Here is a 22,353-nt window from a genome sequence, read left to right on the forward strand (position 1 = left end):
TTTCCAAATAGTCTGGGCTGGCAGGCTGCATTTAGGTAATCACTGCACAATACAATTACTGATTCTGTTTACAAGATTCTTGCTAGTATTTTATTTTTACCCTTTATAGTGTTTGGCTTTTAAAAGCAAATGAATATGGAGTCATGATTTTTTGGCTGCCTTTCCCTTTGGCATATGATATTTATGCCTTTAAAACTTGTTGTTGTTCCAGGGCATTTCACTGATGAAATTTATCAAAATGAACCTACAAATCAGCCACTAAGAGACTGCATGAATAAAAACTGTTAGTAGGAAAATGATTATGACAAAAAAAAAAAAAAAAACAAAGAACAGCTTTAAGAAAAAGCCAGACTGTTAGTTTTTTTTTTTTTTTTTAGAAGGGTTGATATTCTGAACCCCAGCAACAATTTATCAAAGTCTGTTGCCCTGAATGAAATTAGATTTCCTTTTTAGCTTCAGGAATAGGCCATTCCTGGAAAAGTGGAGCACAGAAACATTTGGTAAAAAAATTTATTTTTACTCACAGAAAGAGTAGTTTGCAATGTTATTTCCAGTGAAGGGATGGGAACCAGGATTCAGATATTCATCTGTCTACAATACTGAGGTCCTCCTACCTCCTCTCCTCTGCAAAGGGACCCTCGCAGTATGCAAAAGTATTAAATATTTTTAATGTGATATTCTTTGGTTAAAATATAGTCACATTCTCATTCCTTTTTTCAAGCATAAGTATCAGTCAGATTTCAGAGTATAAGCTGAAGCAACAAATAGTAACAAAGCCCATGCATGAAGATATGTTCTCACTCATTTTTTTACTATTTTATTGTTGGCTACTTCTTCTATTTGCGTTATATTTAGTGTCACTAAGCTGCTATACACGTACTCATTTGAAGAGATGTGCTAAAGCTTTTAGTGTGTTTTGCTATTGATTATCCTATCCAAGAGTTTGGGTTACTCTACGATCAAGATGGCGGTCTGCAGTGAGCCCACCTGCCCGCCAACCTCTGCAACAACCAGCTGAGGATAATTGCACTGGGCTGACGCCAAGGCCATGATTAGATCTGCTAGTGGGTGAGAACCATGAGACTGAACCTCTAATCCCGAACCTCTCTTCCAAGCTACTTTCCAAACCAACTGCTGCCTGCAACTCCCTTTGACTAAATCTGACCTTCCTTCAAACTGGCTCTCTTCCTAATTTCCAGATTTTATGGAGGCAATGCTGTCCAGTGCATGGAGTTGAAATGAGGCTAAAGTGGGTTTGAATCCAAGCTCTACATTTACTGTTTGATCTTGGGCCAATTATTTATTCTTCCTGAGGCTCAGTTTCCTCCTTTGTAAAATGTCAGTAAAGATTCCTAGCATGTAGGATTTTATGCATTTAAAGAGATAACATTTCTAAGTGACTAGTTCAGTGCCTGGCACAAACACAGGCACTAAATAAGCAGAGGTTTCCTCCCTTTCCCCTAACTGTCAATGGTACTGCCACTGTGTACAGTAGCCAAGTTGGACATGTTGATACCAATTTTTCTCTTCTCCCCCTTTCCCTTAACTGAAGCCAATTATCAAGTTATGGAATATTAGAACTAGCAAGAACCTTAGAAATCCTGACCATATGATTCACCGATAAAATACAGAGAAAGACATAAGTCACTGATCATTGCAGCAATCTTGACCCCCACGTCAATTAAATAACAAAAATAATATCATTTTATGATAGAATTTGTTGCTCGACATTCGACAATCATGTTGAACAAAAGAAGATCAATCAACTATAATCAGTTCAGTGATCATGTACAAACACAGCTTCAGGCTCACAAGTCAAGATCTATTTTCCAAACCATTGTCCTATGGTTATTTATGACCGTGAACATTTTTTTGGTGGTAGAATGTTCCTTGTCACTGGTATATTCCTTTGCCCTATGTCTCTTCTTTCTTTGTCATTTACTAACATGAGGAGAGGGATCTGTCTCAAAGATAATTGGAGGAGAAAGCGATCATAGAACCAAAACAAAGGGGAAAAAATAAGATAATTCCAAAGGAAACAATATCAATGTTTTAAAGCCTAAAAATTGACTACTTAATAAATTACATTACATATACCCTGGAACTATTTTCTCCATGCATTGCATGTGCTATAGCATGAATTCATTTGTGTTCTTCTAGATAGTTTATCCTAAGGGAATCTACTAAGCAAAATAAGAATCAGATAATAGTTCTTTATCACACAACTCTTCTTCCTTTCATATTCCATGCTAAATAATCATGCATGATCCAAACCTCCTATTTAACACTTCACCCTCTTCTTCCTCCTATGTTCCATGTACAAGGGGAAAATAAATGATCCATAGTTAACTTTTTTTATGTGAAGACAGGAAGAATATGAATCATACATCAAGTTAGAGTATAAATAGTTACGTTTATAAAAGATTTAATTTCTTGAATCTCCATAGTCACTGGATATGCGTATCATCCAAGGTTCTCCCAATAATAAAACCAGAGCCAGGAAAGAAAAAAGACCCTGTCTTTAGTGATAGCCCATTGTGCTAAAGTCTACTTATTTGTCAGGGCAACTTGGAAAGTTCTGAAAGACCTGGCCTTCAAAGTTTACCATTTTGTCCACCAGCTCAGTGCACTGACTTGACACGACATGAGGCAAACAAGTGAGGAGAGTGGCCCACCACAGTCTAAGATTCTATTGGGTTACCTCTGAAACGCGAAGACATGCTGCTCACAGAAGAGAACAATGGGTACAAGGACTGCAAGGCTGCAAAGCTTCATCCCAACAGCAATTTTCTGTACAACAAATTTCTCTGAAGAGAAAAACCCAGATCATTGATTGCATAACAGCCTTCTTTACACACTGGTTAAAATATAACGGCATGTTCCCTCTTGTTCCTGTGGGTCAATCAACTTAGCTTCCATTTCCACTCCCAAAAAGAGAAATATTATTGGCTTAGTTAGGCTGTTGCTTGATAATTAAACACTCAAAAAGAGTATGATGAGAGTTGCTCTTAATTTAGACTATCTAGAAAATGTGTAACTCCTTGGGGAAGGTAGGGCCAAGAATAAAAGGGTAGTAATACAGTAGGATCTTGTCTGGTTTATTGCAGAACAATAGCTATAGAATATTGACTAATGGATATATAGCCCATGTTGAGGGAGATCTACCGTGAAGTACTATAAATGTCTTCCCTTGCCTCTGACTTTTTCAACATTTTAAATTTATGAAGATGTAAAAAGTGAGTTCCTCAAATCTGGCTAATCCAATCCAATGTTGAAGTGCAGTTTGTAAGGATGATTACAGGATCTCTGTTCAAAAAGATGTTTCCTTGACCATATGGAATGATAGGCCCACCCCCAATAGGAATACTATTTCATGGAAGCTGGTTCAAGCAGTAAAGACATCAGGTTACTTTGAATCTCATTTATTTAAAGGTCACCATAATAGCCATCAATTAAATCCAGGCCCATCCCCTATCATCTTGAAAGTAGCATCAAATAACATTTTGTCTAGTATGAGGCCATATCCTACCCTCTGTAAGTGAGTGGAGCCCTCTTCCCCTACATTCCCATTGGTTAATGCACTTGAATGTTCTTGAAGTCAGAATTGGCAAATTTGCAAAATAAATCAGCCTGCCCACAATTAACTTCTGAGAAGAAAATGATTTTTTTTCTTTTTTCTTTTCTTTTTTTTTTTTTTTTTTTGAGACAGAGTCTCACTCTGTAGCCCAAGCTGGAGTGCAGAGGCGTGATCTTGGCTCACTGCAACCTTCACCTCTGGGGCTCAAGCAATTCTCCTGCCTCAGCCTCCCAAGTAGCTGGGACTAGAGGTGTGCCCCACCACACCCAGTTAATTTTTTTTGTATTTTTAGTAGAGACAGGGTTGCACCATGTTGCACTGGATGGTCTCAAACTCCTGAGCTCAGGAGATCCACCTGCCTCTGCCTTCCAAAGTGCTGGGAATACAGGCGTGAGCCATCGTGCCTGGCCAGAAGAAAATGATTGAGATTTCAAACTTTTCCTTTTGAGATTTAAAACTATTGAATGATATTTAATGAATTAAAGTGACCTCCACTGTAACCACTTGTTGTATAAGAAAGAAGAAGAAATAAGAAAATATGTGTGTGTCTGCTCATATGTGGAGAAAGAAACATAAGAAGGATAGATTAGAAATCAATGAGACTGGTTATCCACGGGAGGTGAGTGGAAACACACTGGAAAAGACAGGGTAGAAGAGACAGGGAGGGACGCTTCTTTGGGTGAAGTGTTTTGAATAGTTCTGAACTTTAGAACTACTCTGAATTTTAGAACCATGTTCTTTTCACATATGTACTTAAAACAAGCAAACAAATAAATTTTAAAAAATAATACAAACAAAAACGAACCTGTGTTTCAAATGAATAACATAATCACACTGAAGGAGAGAAAGAAAAACTAACCCAAGTAACTTTTACCTTATCTTTTTAACATAAAAGTTAACTTTAAAACAAACAGTCAAAATAGTTAAAATATGCTAATAAATTCTATCAATTTTTGTGCTACTTATTTTGTATCTGTGTTTCTTCTTTATTTTATGTCCTGTTTCCTCTCTGGGGAAACAGAAACAGGATACAAAAGAAACAGAGTGCATAAAAAACAATAAATTTTAAATTACATTTCTTATTGCTGAAGCAATCTTTTAAAAGTTCCTATAGCAAAAGTCTACAGGTGATAAAATCTTTTATGCTCTGTATCTTTAACAATAACTTTCTTTTGCCTTCACTTTCAAGTACTAGTTTAGCTGAATGTAATATTCGAGTGTGACGGATGCGTCATTGTTGTTTGACATTTCCTGTTGCATGGTAGGAATCTGCTGCCCAGGTAATTGTTGTTCCCTTGCAGTTTAGCTGTCCTTTCTCCTTGATAACTTTTAAGGGATTATCTTTATCCTTGGTGCTTCTCAGATCCATTACTCTGGTCTAGATGTGGATTTAGTTTTTATTATCTTACTCAATACACAGGATGTACTTTTGATCTGAGGATTTAGACATTTCTTCAGTCTTGGAAAATCATTTTATTATTTCTTCAGCTATCGTATCTCTGCTAGTGCCCTGTAGGGGCTCCTGTTGGAGCTTCTTGATCTATCTTTCATGTCTTGTAACTGTCCTTTCATGTTTTAAAAACTCATCATCTTTGTCTCTGTATGCTGTATTCTGGGTGAGTTTCTCAGCACTATCTTCAAATCCACTAATTTATTCTTTGAGTCTAATTTAGACTACATAGTCCAGTTGAGGTGTTTTAAATAATTACCTCGATGACTATATAAATCATTTACAGCTGGTTCTTTTGCGTGTTTACTGATTTTGTTTTTATACCAGTATTTTAAAATATCATTTAAGATTTTTTTCAATTTTTTAGTCGATATGATTCCTTTAGATCTCTCATTGAGAATCCTCAGGATACTTATTTTAAAGTCAGTGTTGCACTGCTTTATGAGGTTAATTATGTTTGGGTGAATTCATGTTCTGAGTATTGATTTTGTTAGCTGCCTTTATTGGTATTTGAATTCTTCTGTGATTTGGAACTCTGGTCTGCAGGCTCATTTTGAGTAGGAAGTCTTCCTTCAAGTAGGAAGTCTTTCATTTCTTTCTCTCTTCCCCTATGCTCACTTCTCTCTGCTTGGCACATGCCTCCAAGAAGTCCCTGCGCTTCCATTCCAGAGCCCTGTCTTACACTGGTTTTTGGAGCACATTTCAAAGATCCAGTCAGCAAACAGTAATGACTTGACTTAATTATTGGCTTAGTTACTCCTGGTGTAGTTATTCTGTCTCATACTGACTAGCAGCTACTTATAAACCAGTCCTAGGTAAAAGTGAGCAGCATTTTTTTCCTTTGTATTAAGGTACATGCAGTGAAATGCACAGATCGTAAGTGTACAGTTAGATTTTATATATATATATATATATATATATATAGAAGTGTTTGTTCAGATCATTTGCCTGGTTGTTAGTTGGGATAGTTTGTCTTATTACTGATTTGTAGGAGTTATTCACATTTTCTAGACATCAGTCCTTTGTCAGATATATGTATTGTAAATATATCTTCCTTTGAGAAATGTCTATCAAATTCTTTTGACCATTTTGGAAAATTTAGTTGTCGTTTTATTATTAACTTGTGAGAGTTATTTATATATTCAGGATACAACTCCTTTGTCAGACATATACATTGTCAATATTTTCTGACACTTTGTGGCTCTCCCATTTTTTATTGATGTCTTTTGCAGAGCAAAAGTTTTTAATTTTGCTGAGTTCAATTTATCAATTTTTCTTTAGTGGTTAGTGCCTTCTGGGTCTTGTCTAAGGAGCTTTGTCTAACTCAAGATCATGCAGATATTCTTGAAGCTTTATAGTTTTGACTTTTAGGTTTATGATCCATCTCAAATTAATTTTTATGTATGTTTTGAGGGAGGGATTGATGTTCTTTAATTTTCCATATAAGTATTCAATTGTTTTAGCATCATTTCCTGAAAACACTTTTCTTTCTCCCATGGGATTGCTTTGCCATCTTTGGGAAAAATCCATTGGCTCTGTACGTATGAGTCTACATCCATAAGTTTGCAGTAATTTCTTTCCTCACCACAATAATAACTAGAGTGTGTCTGTTTTATTTCTTATCTCTTTTTTCTCCTTATGCTTCAATTTGGATATTTTCTATTGATCTGGCTTCAAGTTCACTTATTCTTTTCCCAGCAGTTCCAGTTTGCTGATAAGTCCATTGAAAGAAGTCTTTATTTCTGATATATTTTTCATTTCTGACACTTCTATTTGAATTTTTTTTTAGAGTTTACTTTTCACTGCTGCATTTCCCATTTTTTCATACATGTATGAACAAAGATTGTCTTTGAGCAATCTCTGCATCTGGTTCTTTTGACCATTTTCTCTTTTGAAGATGGGTCACTTTTTATGCTTTTTCATATACTTGTAATTTTTTATTGAATCACAGATGTTATGTACAAAAGGATAGGATAGACTAAAGTAACTAGCAGATAAGCCCAGAATAGGTCCCATATCTTCTTCTCTCATGCCACCAGTGTGAAGGATTGAGCCAATCTAGGCTGCAGTTGAGCTGGGTCTAGGCTTTGCTGTTATTTTTGTTAAATTTTATTTGTTATATTATTATAGCAAGATCAAATTATTTCCTCTAGCCAGGATTGATATCTGAGTGCCTGGAGGGTTTGTCTTAGTTCTCCTGCCCTGCCTGCACCCATCGTCAGGCCCAGTGCTCCTGCGCCATAGGAGGGGTCTCAGCTCTCCTGCTCTCCTCTTCCCTACCAGTAGCCACAGGCAGCTACTGTCTCCTGTTCAGCGTAAGGCTGGGTTCATTGTGGGTTTTCTCTCTGTTTTCCTGCCCTGACCTCAAACGTCAGCAGGCTCTGAGCTTCAAAGAGGGTCAGCAGGCTCTGAGCTTCAAAGAGTTCATCTCTCTCTGATCTCTTGACTCTTCCCCAGTACAGATGACCACTGTCTTGTTCTCAGCCTGGGGCTCAGAGTCCTTTGAGATTTGTGATGGTTAATTGTATGCATCAATTTGACTGGGCCATGGGATGCCCAGATATTGGTTAAGCATTATTTCTGAATGTGTCTGTGAGAGTGTTTCTAGATGATATTAGCATTTGAATCAGTTGATTATAAAACAGGCCCAAAGAAGGTAGACTTCATCTAATCCACTGAAAGCCTGAATAGGAAAATGGGCTGAGTAAGAAAGATTTCTTTCTCTCTGCCTGGCTGACTTTGAGCTGGGATATCAGTCTTATGCCTTCAGACTTATACTCAAACTGGAACTTAGACCATCTGCTTTTCTGGGTCTCCAACTTGTCACCTGCTGTTTCTGGGCATTCTCAGCTTCATAACCATGTGAGCAAACTACTTATAATAAATCTCTTTATATACATATATATACACACACACACACAAACACACATATATTTATACATACATATATCTCCTATTGGTTCTCTTTCTCTGGATAACCTAGACTAATACAGAATTGCTTCCAATTTTCCTGCTCTGCTCTCAGACTTTGGCAGACCAGCATGTCTGTGCCTCAGACAGGACCTTTTCTGCTCTCCTGTCCCTCCCTCAATTTTGGTTCATTAGTTTCCTTTGCAGCATCAGCTCTCTGATGAGCTGCAAAAATTATGATTTTGGAGGTTGTCCAGCTTGTTCTTACTAAGGTAGGAACCACATTTGTCTGCAACTTTCTGTATCCTAATGGAAGCAAAAGTCTGGCACAACTTTTATTGCTTTTTTGTTTTGTTTTGTTTTTTGAGACGGAGTTTCGCTCTTGTTGCGCAGGCTGGAGTACAATGGCACGATCTCGGCTCACCACAACCTCCTCCTCCTGGGTTCAAGTGATTCTCCTGCCTCAGCCTCCCTAATAGCTGGGATTACAAGCATGTGCCACCCTGCCTGCCTAATTTTGTGTTTTTAGTAGAGACAGGATTTCTCCATGTTGGTCAGGCTGGTATCGAACTCCTGACCTCAGGTGAGTAATCCCAAATTGCTGGGATTACAGGCATGAGCCACTGCGCCCAGCCTATTGATCTTTGATTCCACAAGCTGGGAAGAATGTGCTTGGTCCCTGGCCCTGAGCAGTCAGCTTACCCGTAGCACCCTAGTATGTCTCCATGACGTACAGTGGCCACCACTGCCTGTCTCATGCCATCAACACCTGCCACCACTCTGCATTTACGTTCCATTTCTTGTATCTGAGATTGTCTCTCATTTGCTGTCTTTGGGGTTTTGTCCTTTTATATCTTTTCCTCCAATTTTGTGTGACTGGGGAGAGGTGCAGAAAGTCTCATTAAACCATAATCTCTTTGAGTTGTCTTGACGTGGAAATCTCCCTCCCTGCATTTGTCTATGGATCTCTTCATTACAGTAAATAGGATATTTCTTTTCTTCTCTATTTTTATTTGTATTCCTGTAGTTTGTTTTTCTCTGTGTCCATCTTCAATTGCTTTTACTTTCTAGTGCTTTGTATTTCTCTCTCTTTTCCTAGTTTATTTCTACCTTTGCCTTTTTATATTAATCTTAATATAAAATAATATTAAATCTTAATATTTAATACATTAAATTAATCTTTTATATTAATATATAATATAAAATCAATTTGTTCAATTATACTTTGGAGGCAATGAAATAATTTTGGTGGTGAGTGGAAGAGGTGGGGCTAGCATTTGAGCTCCTTCTCCAAAATGTCCCTCCAGAGAACAAGACAAAGGGATTGCATTGGTGTAAATCTGACAAGATTTCCAATCCACTTCCCAAGTCATTCACCTGTCTAAGTGATCTTCATTACTCGCCTTCATTTTGGGTCTGAGTTTTGCTCTCTCGTTGCTTTTGCTATCCTCTATCTGTCTCTCCTCTCTCTTGCTCTGCTCATTCTAGTGGTTGTTTCTTGGCCCCAAGCCTCACCTCTGGTGCTTCACTTTCCAAAGAGAAAGACTAGACACAATACATAAGACAAGAATATGTACAAGGAAAAAAATAGGAACCCTTCCAGTAAAAGTCAAACTCTCAAATAACTTTTTACTCCACTCTATGCTTTTTATGACTTATACACCTAAAATAAAATGATCCACAGAAGTTAAAAATAGAAGATATGTAGAAGGAGATATCAATGAAACGGAAACAAATGCTGGGGTAAAGAAATAAAAAGAAATGAGCTATCAAGCCAGAGAAAGACCTGGAGGAAACTTAAATGCACGTGGCTAAGTGAAAGAAGCCCATCTGAAAAGGCTACATATAATATGATTTTAATTATGTGACATTCTCAAAAAGGGATTCAGGTGGGAGGGAGGGAGGAATCAGTAGGTGGAGCACAGAGGATTTTTAAAGCAGTGAAACTACTCTGTATGACATAGTAATAATGAACACATGTCATTATACACTTGTCAAAACCCGAAGAATGTACAACACAAGAGTGAACCCTGGCCAGGCATGGTGGTGTATGCCTGTAGTCCCAGATACTTGGGAGACTGAGATGGGAGGATCTCTGGAGTCCGGGAGTTGGAGACCAGCCTGGGCAATATAGGGAGGCCCCATCTCAAAAAGAAACAAAAAAAAACAGTGAACCCTAGTCAAACTATGGACTTTGGTTAATCATAATGTATCAATATTGGTTTAGCAAGAATTATAAATGTATCGCACTAATACAAGATGTGAATAATAGGAGAAACTATGTGTGTGTTGGGGGGTGGGTGAGTGTAGCGGAGTGAGGGGACATGTGGGAATTCTATCTTCCAATCAATTTTTCTGTAAATCTAAAGCTGCTGTAGAAAAGTCTATTAATGAAACAACACAAACAAAAACATGGCACTATTTAAATCAGACAAAGCAAAATTAAGCTATGCAATGCAAAAAGTGTGACAAAGATCAATTGGAATTGACAACAGATTTAATTAATACACAACAGTCATTAAACTTTATGAGTTGAAAAATACCTCAGCACCATAAGACAGTGAAAAAAAAAAGAAAAAAAGAAAAAGAAATGCCATTATAATATAAAGCAAAACATGATAGAAATATCAAGAAGAAATAAATAAAAACACAAGAGAAGACTGTAGCACACTCCCATTTGTCTAGGATGGCTTAGATAGGCAAAATAAGACATTGGGAATATATAGCTCACGTCTCAATGGGAAACAGATGCCTCTTTCTGCATAAAAATTTGACCTTCACTTATCTTCCTTACTCTGTTCCTCTAATAACTTGATAAAGGTAAAATGTCGACTATGTCTCTAGGCAACATTACTTTTGGTAGAAATAACTCCTACTGGATAAATTGCATCTGGACTCAGGATAACCATAAATGATTGGGACAATCATTTGGGACATCATATCTGATTGGGACATCATAGCTTTCAGTTCCCCTGAGTGTGCTGACTCCTGTAACTCCATATGCCTCCATAGGGACCCTGAAAGCTGTGTCTATGAAGTTATTACAAGATATTGGCTACTGTGGTGCATGGAGCTTCTAGGCCAGGGTGATTCTCACACCTGCCTGATGTGGATCTTGTTGCTTCACACCTGAAACATCATTTGAGAAGCCCGGGAAGTGGTGTGGCTGCTGCATGGCTGCTCCAAGAACTACTCCCATGGGAGAGGAGCTCCCAACAGTGCCTTGCCATCAAGCTTTGATTTCTACCTTACATACCTCTGAATAAACTGTTGCCAATGAGGCTGATGGAAGTCTTGTGAGTTTGAATGCCAGGTTGAACTTAAGAGGATTCCCTGGTGAGCATTGCAAGATGGTATACTCAATGTTATTAATTTGTGGGGAGTTTAATAAAAGTATTGTTTATATTGATGTGGGAAGGGTATAGGGAAATTACAAGGTATGGTGCAGTGTCCCAAGAATAGTAACATGGGGCACTGAAAAGATAGAGAAAGGAAAAGAATGAGTGACCAGAACCTGGTGACAGAGCCACAGGGGAGGGCTGTCTGGCTGGAGCTGTGACTTACCATTGAAGGACTCAGGAAGTTCTTTTTTTTCTTTAGACAGGGTCTCGCTCCGTCATCTAGGCTGTCATGCAGTGGTGTGATCATGACTCACTGCACCCTCAGCACACACCACCATACTGGGCTAATTTCTGTATTTTTATAGACAGGTTCTCACCAGGTTGCCCAGTCTGATCTCAAAATCCTGGGCTCAAGCAATCTTCCTGCCTTGGCCTCCCAAAGTGCTGGGATTATAGGCATAAGCCACTGCACCCAGCCCTCAGGCAGTTTTTATTAATTCTGCAGGAAGGGAGCTGGGAGAATAAAAATCCCGACCTCATTTTCTTTCCTTCTTTTGTTCTCTTGCTTGAGCTTCCCATGGATGAACTGGAAGAATTCAGAAATTGAATGATATAAATAACAAAGTTAAATTAATAGACATGTATTGAACTTAGTTTTTAGAGTATGTATAATTTTCCCAATTTTCTGTGGAATTATTGCAAAATTTGATCACAAACTATAAGGCTACAATTTAAAAATATAACAAATTCCTAACTGTAAAAATTTTCTAGGTTAAATTCTTTGATCACAAAGCAGGCAAGAAATGAATGGTGGAACAAACTAAAATACTAGCTCCATGAATGAAAAGACCTACATGGATATGAGAGTAATTAAGAAGGAGTTAGCAGCGATGGGACTTTGTGATTGACTGGATATAGACAATGAGGAATATAGTGAAGGAAAGATGATTTCCTGATTTCTGGCATGGGCAGCTGAGTAGATGGTTATGCTATAAACTAAGAAAAGAGAGAAGGATAGGAAGAGATGGGCCTGGAAGAGTATGGAGTTTGAGATGAGAAGAGAAAATGGAAACTCTGAGGAGCACAGAAAATTAAGGCCCAAGTGAAGAAAGATGAGCTTGCAGGGAAGACTGGGTGATGACAAGCGGTGTAGGAGAGAATCCGGGTACTCTGTTTTGCTGAAATGAGAAAGACGGACATACAGATGCATATAAAGGCATATAGAGGCAGATATATTTATATTTGAGGAAGTCTGGACATTGAGTAAGTTAGTGCTGATAACTTCTAGTTTCTTAGTTAAGAAAGAGATGAGGTTATCTATACGGAGTAAGGAGGAACGTGGTGGTGCCGTTGCTACTACGGTGTAATACGTCACTACTATTACTATTAATTATGGTGTAATACCTAAAACGTAGTGGCTTGAAATAACAATAATTATCTTTTATCTCTCACAGTTTCTCTGGGTCAGAAATTTGAGGATAAGGTGGTGAATGATTCTGGCTCAAGGTCTCCCATATTGTTGTGATCAGTGGCTGGAGCCAGAACAGCAGAGGGCTTAGAGAATCTAGGGATTGGTCAGATGTCGCTTTCGTTTTATCTGGCTTTGAGACCTCTCCAATGTGAGCTAATTTAGGCTTCCTCATAGCGTGGTAACCTCAAGGTATGTGAACCGTGTAGCGGTTGACGCTTCCAAGAACAAGTATTCTAGCAGGCAAGGTTCATCTTTTATGCTTTAGGCATGGAAATTACATAGCGTCACTTTCCCTAAAATGAGAAAGGATATAGCATGTTTGGACAGTACGAACCAGTATCACCTAATTGACATTAATAGACCATCCTATCCAGCAATGGCAGAATACATATTTCAAGTGTAGATGGAACATTCACCAAGGCAGATCATATTCTGGGCCATGTACAAAAAAAACTGAGAAATTTAAAAGGATTAAAATTACAGAAAGCATGCTCTCTGACCACAGTGGAATTAAGCTAGAAATAGAAAACAAAAAATTATATAGAAAATCCCCAAATATTTGGAAATTTTTTATTTTTGATTTTTTAAAATTGTGTTTTTTAACCAATGAAAAATAATTGTATTATCTGTGGAGTACATAGTGTTGTTTCAATACATATAAAGTATAGTGATCAGATCATGGATATTAGCATATCAGTCATTCCAGACATCTATAATTTTTGTGTAGGGAACCTTCAATATTATCTTCCAGCTATTTGAAACTACATAATATATTATGGTTAATTACAGTTTTTCTATTGTGGTATAGAAATTAGATAATATACTCTTTTAAAGTCCATGGGACACAATGAAAAATAATTAGAAAAATTAGAACATACTTTGAACTGATTGAAAATTAAAACACAACATATCAAAATTTGTGAGATGCAGCTAAAGCAGTACCTACTGAAAAATGTATGGGATTAGATACTTAAAAAGTAGATGTTAAACCAATGTCCTAAGCTTCTGCCTCAAGAAACTTAAAAAAAGAGCAAGCAAAGTAAATCCAAAACAAGTAAGGGAACAATAAAGATAAGATTAGAAATCAATATAGTAGAAAAAAGGGAATTATAGATACAACCAAAGAAACAAAAAAACTGGTGATTTGAAAATAGCAATAATATTGATATAGGCCTCTGATCAGACTCATCAAGAACAAAAGAAATAATATACACACTACCAACATCAGGAATGAATTTGTAGGAACATTCCTACAAATCCTACAGACACTAAAATACAATAAGAAAATATTATAAACAATTTATGCTTATAAATTTCATTACCTAGGTGAAAAGTACAAATTTTTTCAATGATTCAAACTGTCAAAGGTCACTCAAGATGAAATAGATAACCTGAATAGCCCTGTATCTATTAGAGTAATTGCATTCATAGTTTAAGATCTCCTTTCAAATAAATTCCAGACTAGATGGCTTCTCTGGTGAATTTTACCAGACATTTAAGAAAGAAACAATGTGGCCGGGCCCAGTGGCTCACATCTGCAATTCCAGCATTTTGGGAGGCTGAGGCGGATGGATCGCCTGAGGTCAGGAGTTCGAGACCAGCCTGGCCAACATGATGAAACCCTATCTCTACTAAAAATACAAAAATTAGCCGGGCGTGGTGGCGGGCTCCTGTAATCCCAGCTACTCAGGAAGCTGAGGCAGGAGAATTGCTTGAACCCGGGAGGTGGAGGTTGCAGTGAGCTGAGACCATGCCACTGCACTCCAGCCTGGGCGACAGAATAAGACTCTGTCGAAAAAGAGAGAGAAAGAAAGGAAGGAAGGGAGGAAGGAAGGAAGGAAGGAAGGAGGAAGGAAAGAAGGAAGGAAGGAAGGAAGGAAGGAAGGAAGGAAGGAAGGAAGGAAGGAAGGAAGGAAATTCCACACAAAATCTTCTCAAAAAGTGAAAGAAGAGGAAATATTTCTCAACTCATTTCATGAGGTCTACATTACCCTGGCACGACACCAAACTTGATAAAGGCATTTAAATAAGAAAACTATAAACTAATGTCCCTCATATATATAGATGCAAAAATGCTTAACAACATTTTAACAAATTTAATTTAGTAATATAGCAAAAGAATAATACATTATGGTCAAGTAAGATTTTTCACAAGAATGCAATGTTTGTTTAATATTCAAAAACCAATTAATGCAATTCACCATGTTAGCAGATTAAATTTAAAAGCCCATCTGAATTAAAAGCATTTAACAAAATTCAATATTCATTTACAATAAAACCCCTCAGCAAGTCAGAAATAGTCAGGAAATTCCTCAATCTGAAAGGAAGCATCTATGAAAAGCTTACAGCCATCATCAAACTTAATGGAGAGAGGCTAAATGCTTTTTCTGAAAGGTCACTAACAAAGCAAATGTGCCCACTCTCACTACTTCTATTCAACATTAAATTGAAGATCTTAGCCAGTGCACAATGGCAAGAAAAAAAAAAGGCATCTAGACTGGAAAGAAATAAGTAAACCTGTCTTTTAATCACAAATGACAGTATCACTTACATAGAAAATCTCAAGGAATATCCCAAAAAAGTTACTAGGATTGAACTAATGAGTTTAGCAAATTTGCAGGAGACAAGATCAGTATGCAAAAATCAGTTGATTGGTTGTATTGTCATATAATAACAATAATCAATTGAAAATAAAGATTCAAATGCCATCAAAAGTGTGAACTTTGTAGGGGAAATAGTTTTAAAAGTACAGGAGAAAAACTGGCTGAGAGAAATTAAGATCTAAGTAAAAGAAGAAATACACCATTTTCATGGATCAGAAGACAATTTTGTTAGGATGACAATTCTCCCCACATTGATCTATAGACTCAACATAATCCTAGTCAAAATTCAAGTGAGCATTTTTATAGAAATTTGAAAGCTTATTCTAAATTTTTGTTGGGAAACCGTCCTCCATGTGTCTCTTGTACTGCTTGCTACACATCTTACTTAGAAGGCTAAGAAACCAAGCCCTGATCATTTCTTATCACGTTTGTTTCTTACAGTTGTGTTTGCAGAGAGCAACTTTGAGGTATGAGATAATGTTTCACTCTGGGACAAAGAACAGGCTTTCTTACAGCTTGATATAAAACAGATGAATTCCCCAAGTCCAGTGTACCTCTTCTGCAATGCAACCAATTGCATGTACAGGCATCCATCTGGGCCCATGTCACATCACCCTATGGGTCTTGGGGATGGGGAGCAAGGGAAACTGATGTGGATGATAATGCTCATAATGCTTACCATGCCATGGGTAATAGAGTTCTTTGCCATAGACCTAGGATTCTTGAGGGTTTTTGTTTTTTTTTTCCAGCTTCCATGAAACAGTAGTATAGGCTAACTTGTTAGCTTCCAAGTAGAGTAAAATCAAATCCCTGACACAACAGTTAATTCAAAGTTCCTAAAGTAGCTAAAAATATTTCTTTTAAGTTGAGGCACTTGAATATTCTGGTTATGAAGCTATAATAATTAAGACAATATGGCATTGGCATGCGAATAGAGTCCAGAAATAGCAATCAATGGAACAGAACAGAGAGTCCAGAAATAGACCCATACAAATAAAATTAACTGATTTTCAACAATGTTAACAGGATAATTCAATGGGGGAAAGGATATTTTTAGCAAATGGTGCTGAAAACATATGATATCCATGTGCAAAAGAAATCATCTGGAGCCATACTTTAAACCTTATAAATAACTCAAGATGGATCTCAGACCCAATGGTAAGAGCTAAAACAATAAAATTTCTAGAAGAAAACGGAAAATTTTTGTGACCTTGAGTTAGGCAAAGAATTTTTAGGTAGGACACAAAAAGCACAAATCACAGGTGAAAAATTGAAAACTTGGAATTTACCATTAAAAGCATCTTGTTCTTTAAAAGACACTGTTAAGAAAATAAGTATATAAGCCATGGGATGAGAGAAAATAATTGCAAAACACATATCAGGTAAGGGACTTGTATCCAAAATATGTAAAGAACACCTATAAATTAAGAATAGGAAGACAACCCAATATAAAGTGGGCAGAAGATTATACAGATACTTTACCAAATATGCAAATGGCCAGTAAGCACATGTTCAACATCATTAGCTGTTAGGGAAAATGCAAATTAAAACCACAATTTGCTACTGCACATTCCTGGAATAACTAAAATGAAAAAGTCTGAGAATACGAAGTGATGGTGAGAATGTGGAGCAACTCGAATGCCCATATATTGCTTGTGGGGTTGCAAAATGGTACAACCACTTTGAAAAACAGTCTGGCAATTTCTCATGAAGTTAAACATGTACTTACCATATATCCCAGTAATTCTATTTCTGGATATTTGCCTAATATAAAAACATTTGTCTACAGAAAGACCTGAGTGTCATAGCAGCTGAATGCTCAATAAGCTGAATGTTTATGGCAACTTTATTCATAACAATAAAAAAAAACTTGAAACAATCCAAATGACCATCAATTGGGGAGTGGATAAACAAATTGTGGTGCATTCATACAATGACATGCTACTCAAGAGTGAAAAGGACAAGACCATGGATACAAGCAACAAGGTGGAAAAACCTCAAAAGCATGATGCCAATAAAACTAGCTAGCGCTAAAAGATGTATATTGTATGGCTCCATCTATATGGCACCCTACAAAAGGCAAAACTACAGAGACAGAAAGTAGGTTGGTTTTTGCCAGAGGGTAGAGCTGGTGAAAGAGGATTAACCTTTGAAAAGGTACAGCAGAATTGTTTTGGAGTGGTGGAAGTATTCTATATTTTGATTGTGGTGGTAGGTACACAACTGTATCCTGCTAAAATTCCTCAGATTTAACACTTAAAAGTTGAATTTTATTGTATGTACAAATAGAGAATGGAAGAACAAAAGAATGAGGAAAGGAAGCAAGAAAGGAAGGAAGAAAGGGTGGGAGGGAGGAAGAACGGAAGGGAGGGAAAGACAAATTTCTTCTCATTCTTTATCCCTCTTTGAGATGCCTCTCTGTGGATCCTGTCACCTCTACTGGGGAGCAAAAAGAACACAGAAGTTGGAGCCGACGGATCCCATGCCTAGCTGGGTAATTAGGCAAATCTCAGCCTCTGGAAATGCAGCTTCTTCTGTAACCTACCTCAGAGGGCTGTTGTGAGGATTGAATGGGGTAACATTTAAACTAACTGGCAAAAGCAGGTTCTCAATATATTAAAATTCACATGAAAAAGATAAACCAGGAAGGGAGTTGGCAGGAAGCCAGGAAGCCTCCTGTGTTCTCTGCAGGAGGCTTATCTAGTTCATCAGGATCTTGGGAACAGCTAGTCTTCCTCTGCTGCATTCTGAGAGTTAGGTGATGAGTCACCACCTCAAGAGGCCATCTAGTTCTGGCCGATCTATCTGACTGGATCGTGGACCCTAGGACCCAGCTAACTTGTTCTCCAGCCAATTTAGAAGAATGAGTAGCAAAAATAATATGGCAAGTATTTCTTGAAGTGCCCTAACCCTCTGTCCTTATTAGTGTACCCTGTCAGGAGTGGCCTGCCTTGACTTTCTGTCAAACTGGAGCAGCCTGAGACTAAGGGCAAATGCCCTCTTGGCCTTGGCCGGCCACAACTTGGATATGCAGGTCAGGCTTATTGTTAGGGAAGCTCTGAGACTCAATTAATCTGATGCCTTTTTATTATGAGTTCAGGTGCAGCTCCATTTACAAGTTTTTCTTTCAAAATCATTCAGCCATTAAAGCTGCATAATCTTGGAAGGTTTTGAAGACGCATGATTGGTAAATGTTTTTCCCCTTCACACATTATCTCTCATGTTTATTCATGAAAAGTGAACCAGTCTTATAATTTAAACAGTGTCTTGGGGTATCTGGCCTCCTGTATTTCTAAGGGGGAGGAAAGATGAGGCTAGCCCAGAAGCCATTTAAAAAGGGGATTTGAGGCCTGAACGCAGAGAACTCAATCCCAGGTACTAATGACCTTGCTTTGGCTTGCAAGACTAAGCCTGAGGCCTGTGGCACTTAAGAGGGTTACTGGGTACCCAGACAGGCAAATGCCTGTTGATTGGATGGCTAAATTGTGAAGAAAGCAAAGCTTACCTGTGCAATGTGTCCATGCCTTCATTCCTACTTTCTGAATCAACAGTGCCTGTTATTGTTCTGCCCAACTGTTAAGATGTTCCACCTGTGCCTGCTCTTTGGCGCAGTACTCCAGGCTATAGATCAACATTTCTCAAACCTGGCTGCACATTAGAGTCATCTGGGGATCTTTTAAAAACCCAGCTGCCTTGGCTGCACATCTGATCATTACGTCAGACTCTTGTAGGGAGGAGTATAGACATCAGCATTGATTAAAACTCCTGAGATAATTCCAATGTGCAGTCAGGATTGAGAACAGCTGGTCTACACCAGTTCCTCTTGAAGTATGGTCTGTAAGTCACAGGCTGCAGAATCTCCTTGGATGTTTGTGGGAAATGCAGATTGCTAGGTTCACCAGCCCTATAGGCACTGAGTCTCAAGGTGAGATCTGGAAAATGTGTTTTAATAAGCTCCCCAGGTGATTCCTAAGCTTTTTGCAAGTACCGCTGCTTCTTATGATATGGCCGTTCTTGCTTCCCATCAGTTATCCTTGTCTTTCAGTTCCTCAAAGATATCAAGTTTCATTCATCCTCAGGACCACTGCATATGATAGTCGCTCTACTTGGAAGACATTTTCCTCTTTCTCCTTGTTATTAGGCATTTGGCAGACTTAACAATGAGGCTATTGTAACCCCAGAAAGTCATTGCAAAGTGCCTGCTTAGGGGGTTAAGAGTAGACACTGCAGGGCCTTGGAATAGTAATGGTTTACTATTTAATGAGTTCCCTGTCACTGGAAGTCATAGAGAGATTGCTCCAGGCATGGTGGGAGAAAAGCCAGTTTGACAGGCGGTGGAGGGATAAGAGGGAAGACTTGAGTGACGTGGCACAAACTGGGTCAGATCTATTAAAGAGGCAGCCCTGGGCAGCTGGCAAGAGATCATGTCAAGAGACACAATGCAGGTGCCAGCAGGACCAGAAGATCAGCTTCTTAGAGCGAGTGCCACCTGGAAGGGGGAAACCAAGGGAAGGGGCACAGCAAAGGGCAAAGCTGGGTGGTGGAGGAAGTACCCAAACAGAGGGAAGAGCCACTCTGGCCACATCAAGTGAATACTGATGATCGGGAAACATTCATGGGAAGTTATTTCACTCTCTCGAGTCCAGTGTAAGTGAGAAAGTGTAATTTAATTTAAAAGAGCCTAATTTAGCCTTCCATCAACTGTAGATCTTTTAACGAGACCTTTATTCTTCTAGGACAGCATTTCTCAAACTTTAATGTGCGTAGGAATCTTATTAAAATGCAGATTCTGATTCAGTACGTCTGGGGTAAGGGCTGAGATTCAGCACTTCTAACCGGCTCCTAGATGCCCCCGGTCTGAGCACTACACTTAGAGCAAGCAGGTTTGAACATTGCGACTTATAACAGTGGACCCATGGTGTAGACAAGTCCAGAAATGACTGCTGAATCAACAGTTTTTATGTTAGCTTCCGTATACCTTCAGAATTCAGTGTTTGTGTGCATTCTAATTCTCTAAATGATGTATATTAGATTTCCATTAACGAAAATATATGTTTAAGTGGAACTCTCCAATTCCAACTTGCCAAATAAAATAAAAAATTCCTGTCATTTTACTGACCTGTCTCTGAGTTGTTAATGGTGACATGCTGGGCAATGACTAGGTTACCTGTTTTTGTCCCTGGCCTGATGTGGGTTATTAAATATATGTAGATGTTAGGCATGAGAAAACATTTACGCAGTTTTCTTTTTGTCACTCATTCACAGGCTCAGTTGGTAAACTGTCTTTCAGAAATAGGGAGAAAGCATACTGAGTAAGAGCCCTCTTTGACAGCTTAAAATTTAATTACAGGAATTTTATTAGGAAACTGTCAAAGTGACTAGATTGCATAAGAGGATCGGTCAATGCCTCTAACTTGTTCTGAGCATCAGCTCTGCTTTCTGGATCATGAAATTGGCAGGAACGTACTGGGCAAAACAATGCCAAGTTCACGAAGATAGCACTGCTGGCGTTTACTGCAAGCCCATCTGCACACTGGGTGGAACAAAGAACAGAGGTCAGTGACGACAGGCATAGTAAATGTAAGGAAGGTGGGCCCAGGGCTCATCCCAAGGACTGAGAGCACATGGAAATGTCCCGTGCCTTAAGCCTCAGTCTGAAATAGGCTGATCTAAGGCAGGCTAAGAGTTTACCCGGTCTTTACAATGGAGATCACAACTGTGCTCCCAGGGACAGACTAGGGCTGTGTGTGTGTGTGTGTGTGTGTGTGTGTGTGTGTGTGTGTGTGTGTGAATGTGAGTCTAGGTGAACAAAATCACTAAGTTGACTGATACTTTAAAAGGTCATATAATCCAATGCATTGCATCAGACCAACCCAGATGTCATAATTTCCAGACAGGAATCCATTCTATTCTAAATACTCCGCAGGTAGGTCTATTTCACAACTTATCTCACAATTACTTCTTTCTGTTCAGCATTTCCTACATTCAGGAAACATTTGTTTATAACTAATATAAATCAATTTTTTAAAACTTACGAAACTCTTACTAAAAATCTAGAAATGTCCCTGGTTCTGTAGGGAACAACAGCAAGAGTAAGGCCCAGTTCCTGCCCACTTCTCATTCATCACAACTGAATTCTTCCAAAAACTTTTGTTGATCCTATATTCAGAATTAATTTTTTCCCTGAGGTCCCATGATATTTAATTTAGAAATTTGTTATCGCATTGATCACATTCTGCTTTTTATTATGGTTTATGTGTGCATGCGTGCTGGTTAACACGCTTCTTTAGACATAAAACAGAGAAGTTTGGATTGGCTAAAGCATCTGTCCCAGCTTAGGGTTTTTAATAAAATAACTTGAGGAAACTTAAGAGGATCCATGTCTGACTACCCAATGTGCTATATTTTTGCTAGAGAAGGAACTTGATAAGTACCTGTTGAATTAAAATTAACATTCTGTGCTCAAGAAGTGGGTATAATATTATCCATTGTGGCCTTATTTTCGGGGCAGAAGATTAAAACAACTTAAATATCTATTTAGAGACCACTGGTTAAATGGAGTTTGGTATGCCTATATAGTAGAAGACCATGTACCTGTTGGAAAGATTGAAGTAGGTCTGTATGCACCAATATGAAACAGCATCCGAGACACGGTATTAAGTAAAAAAAAAAATGGAATAAAGAGTGATGTTTATGGTATGCTGATATTTGTTATAAAAAGGATGTGTGGGTGTGATATGTGCACAGAATATTTCTAGGATACAAAAGAAATTGTTAACAGTGGTTGCTGATTAGGAGGGGAATTTCAGTGCAGTCTAGTACAAATAGAAAGAAACAATATCTATAGCCTCTTGATATGTTGGGAACAGAGTGACCTCCTAAGTATAGAAGGTGCAGCAGTGTTTAGGCCAGGAAGGAGCTACCTCCAAGAAGAAGTTGCTGGTAAAGCCCGGACACACAGCTTAGGCACAAAAGCCCAGCTTCCCATCTGCTGTGTGGGT

The 22,353-nt window shown here is 38.3% G+C and overlaps 1 protein-coding gene across 2 annotated transcripts in view, besides 2 other annotated features; it reads right to left on the reverse strand.

Annotated features, from left to right (window-relative positions):
* CPB2 (carboxypeptidase B2) overlaps positions 1-2,799 on the reverse strand; it is a 51,848-nt gene extending 49,049 nt beyond the window's left edge. For both annotated transcript variants that reach the window (NM_001278541.2, NM_001872.5), the window contains exon 1: positions 2,702-2,799. In NM_001278541.2, coding sequence (NP_001265470.1) covers positions 2,702-2,775 — 74 coding nt within the window. In that variant the 5' untranslated portion in view covers positions 2,776-2,799. The remainder of the gene's footprint in view (positions 1-2,701) is intronic.
* Positions 15,660-15,954: a silencer, noted in NCBI's record as "tiled region #4806; HepG2 Repressive non-DNase unmatched - State 23:Low". NCBI's record gives its function as "represses a minimal TATA promoter and a strong SV40 promoter by Sharpr-MPRA in HepG2 cells {active_cell/tissue: HepG2}" and the evidence as "EXISTENCE:reporter gene assay evidence [ECO:0000049][PMID:27701403]".
* Positions 22,137-22,206: an enhancer, noted in NCBI's record as "active region_7689". NCBI's record gives its function as "activates an Ori minimal core promoter by ATAC-STARR-seq in GM12878 lymphoblastoid cells {active_cell/tissue: GM12878}" and the evidence as "EXISTENCE:reporter gene assay evidence [ECO:0000049][PMID:35858748]".

This window comes from Homo sapiens, chromosome 13, assembly GCF_000001405.40.
Source record: "Homo sapiens chromosome 13, GRCh38.p14 Primary Assembly".
NCBI lineage: Eukaryota > Metazoa > Chordata > Mammalia > Primates > Hominidae > Homo > Homo sapiens.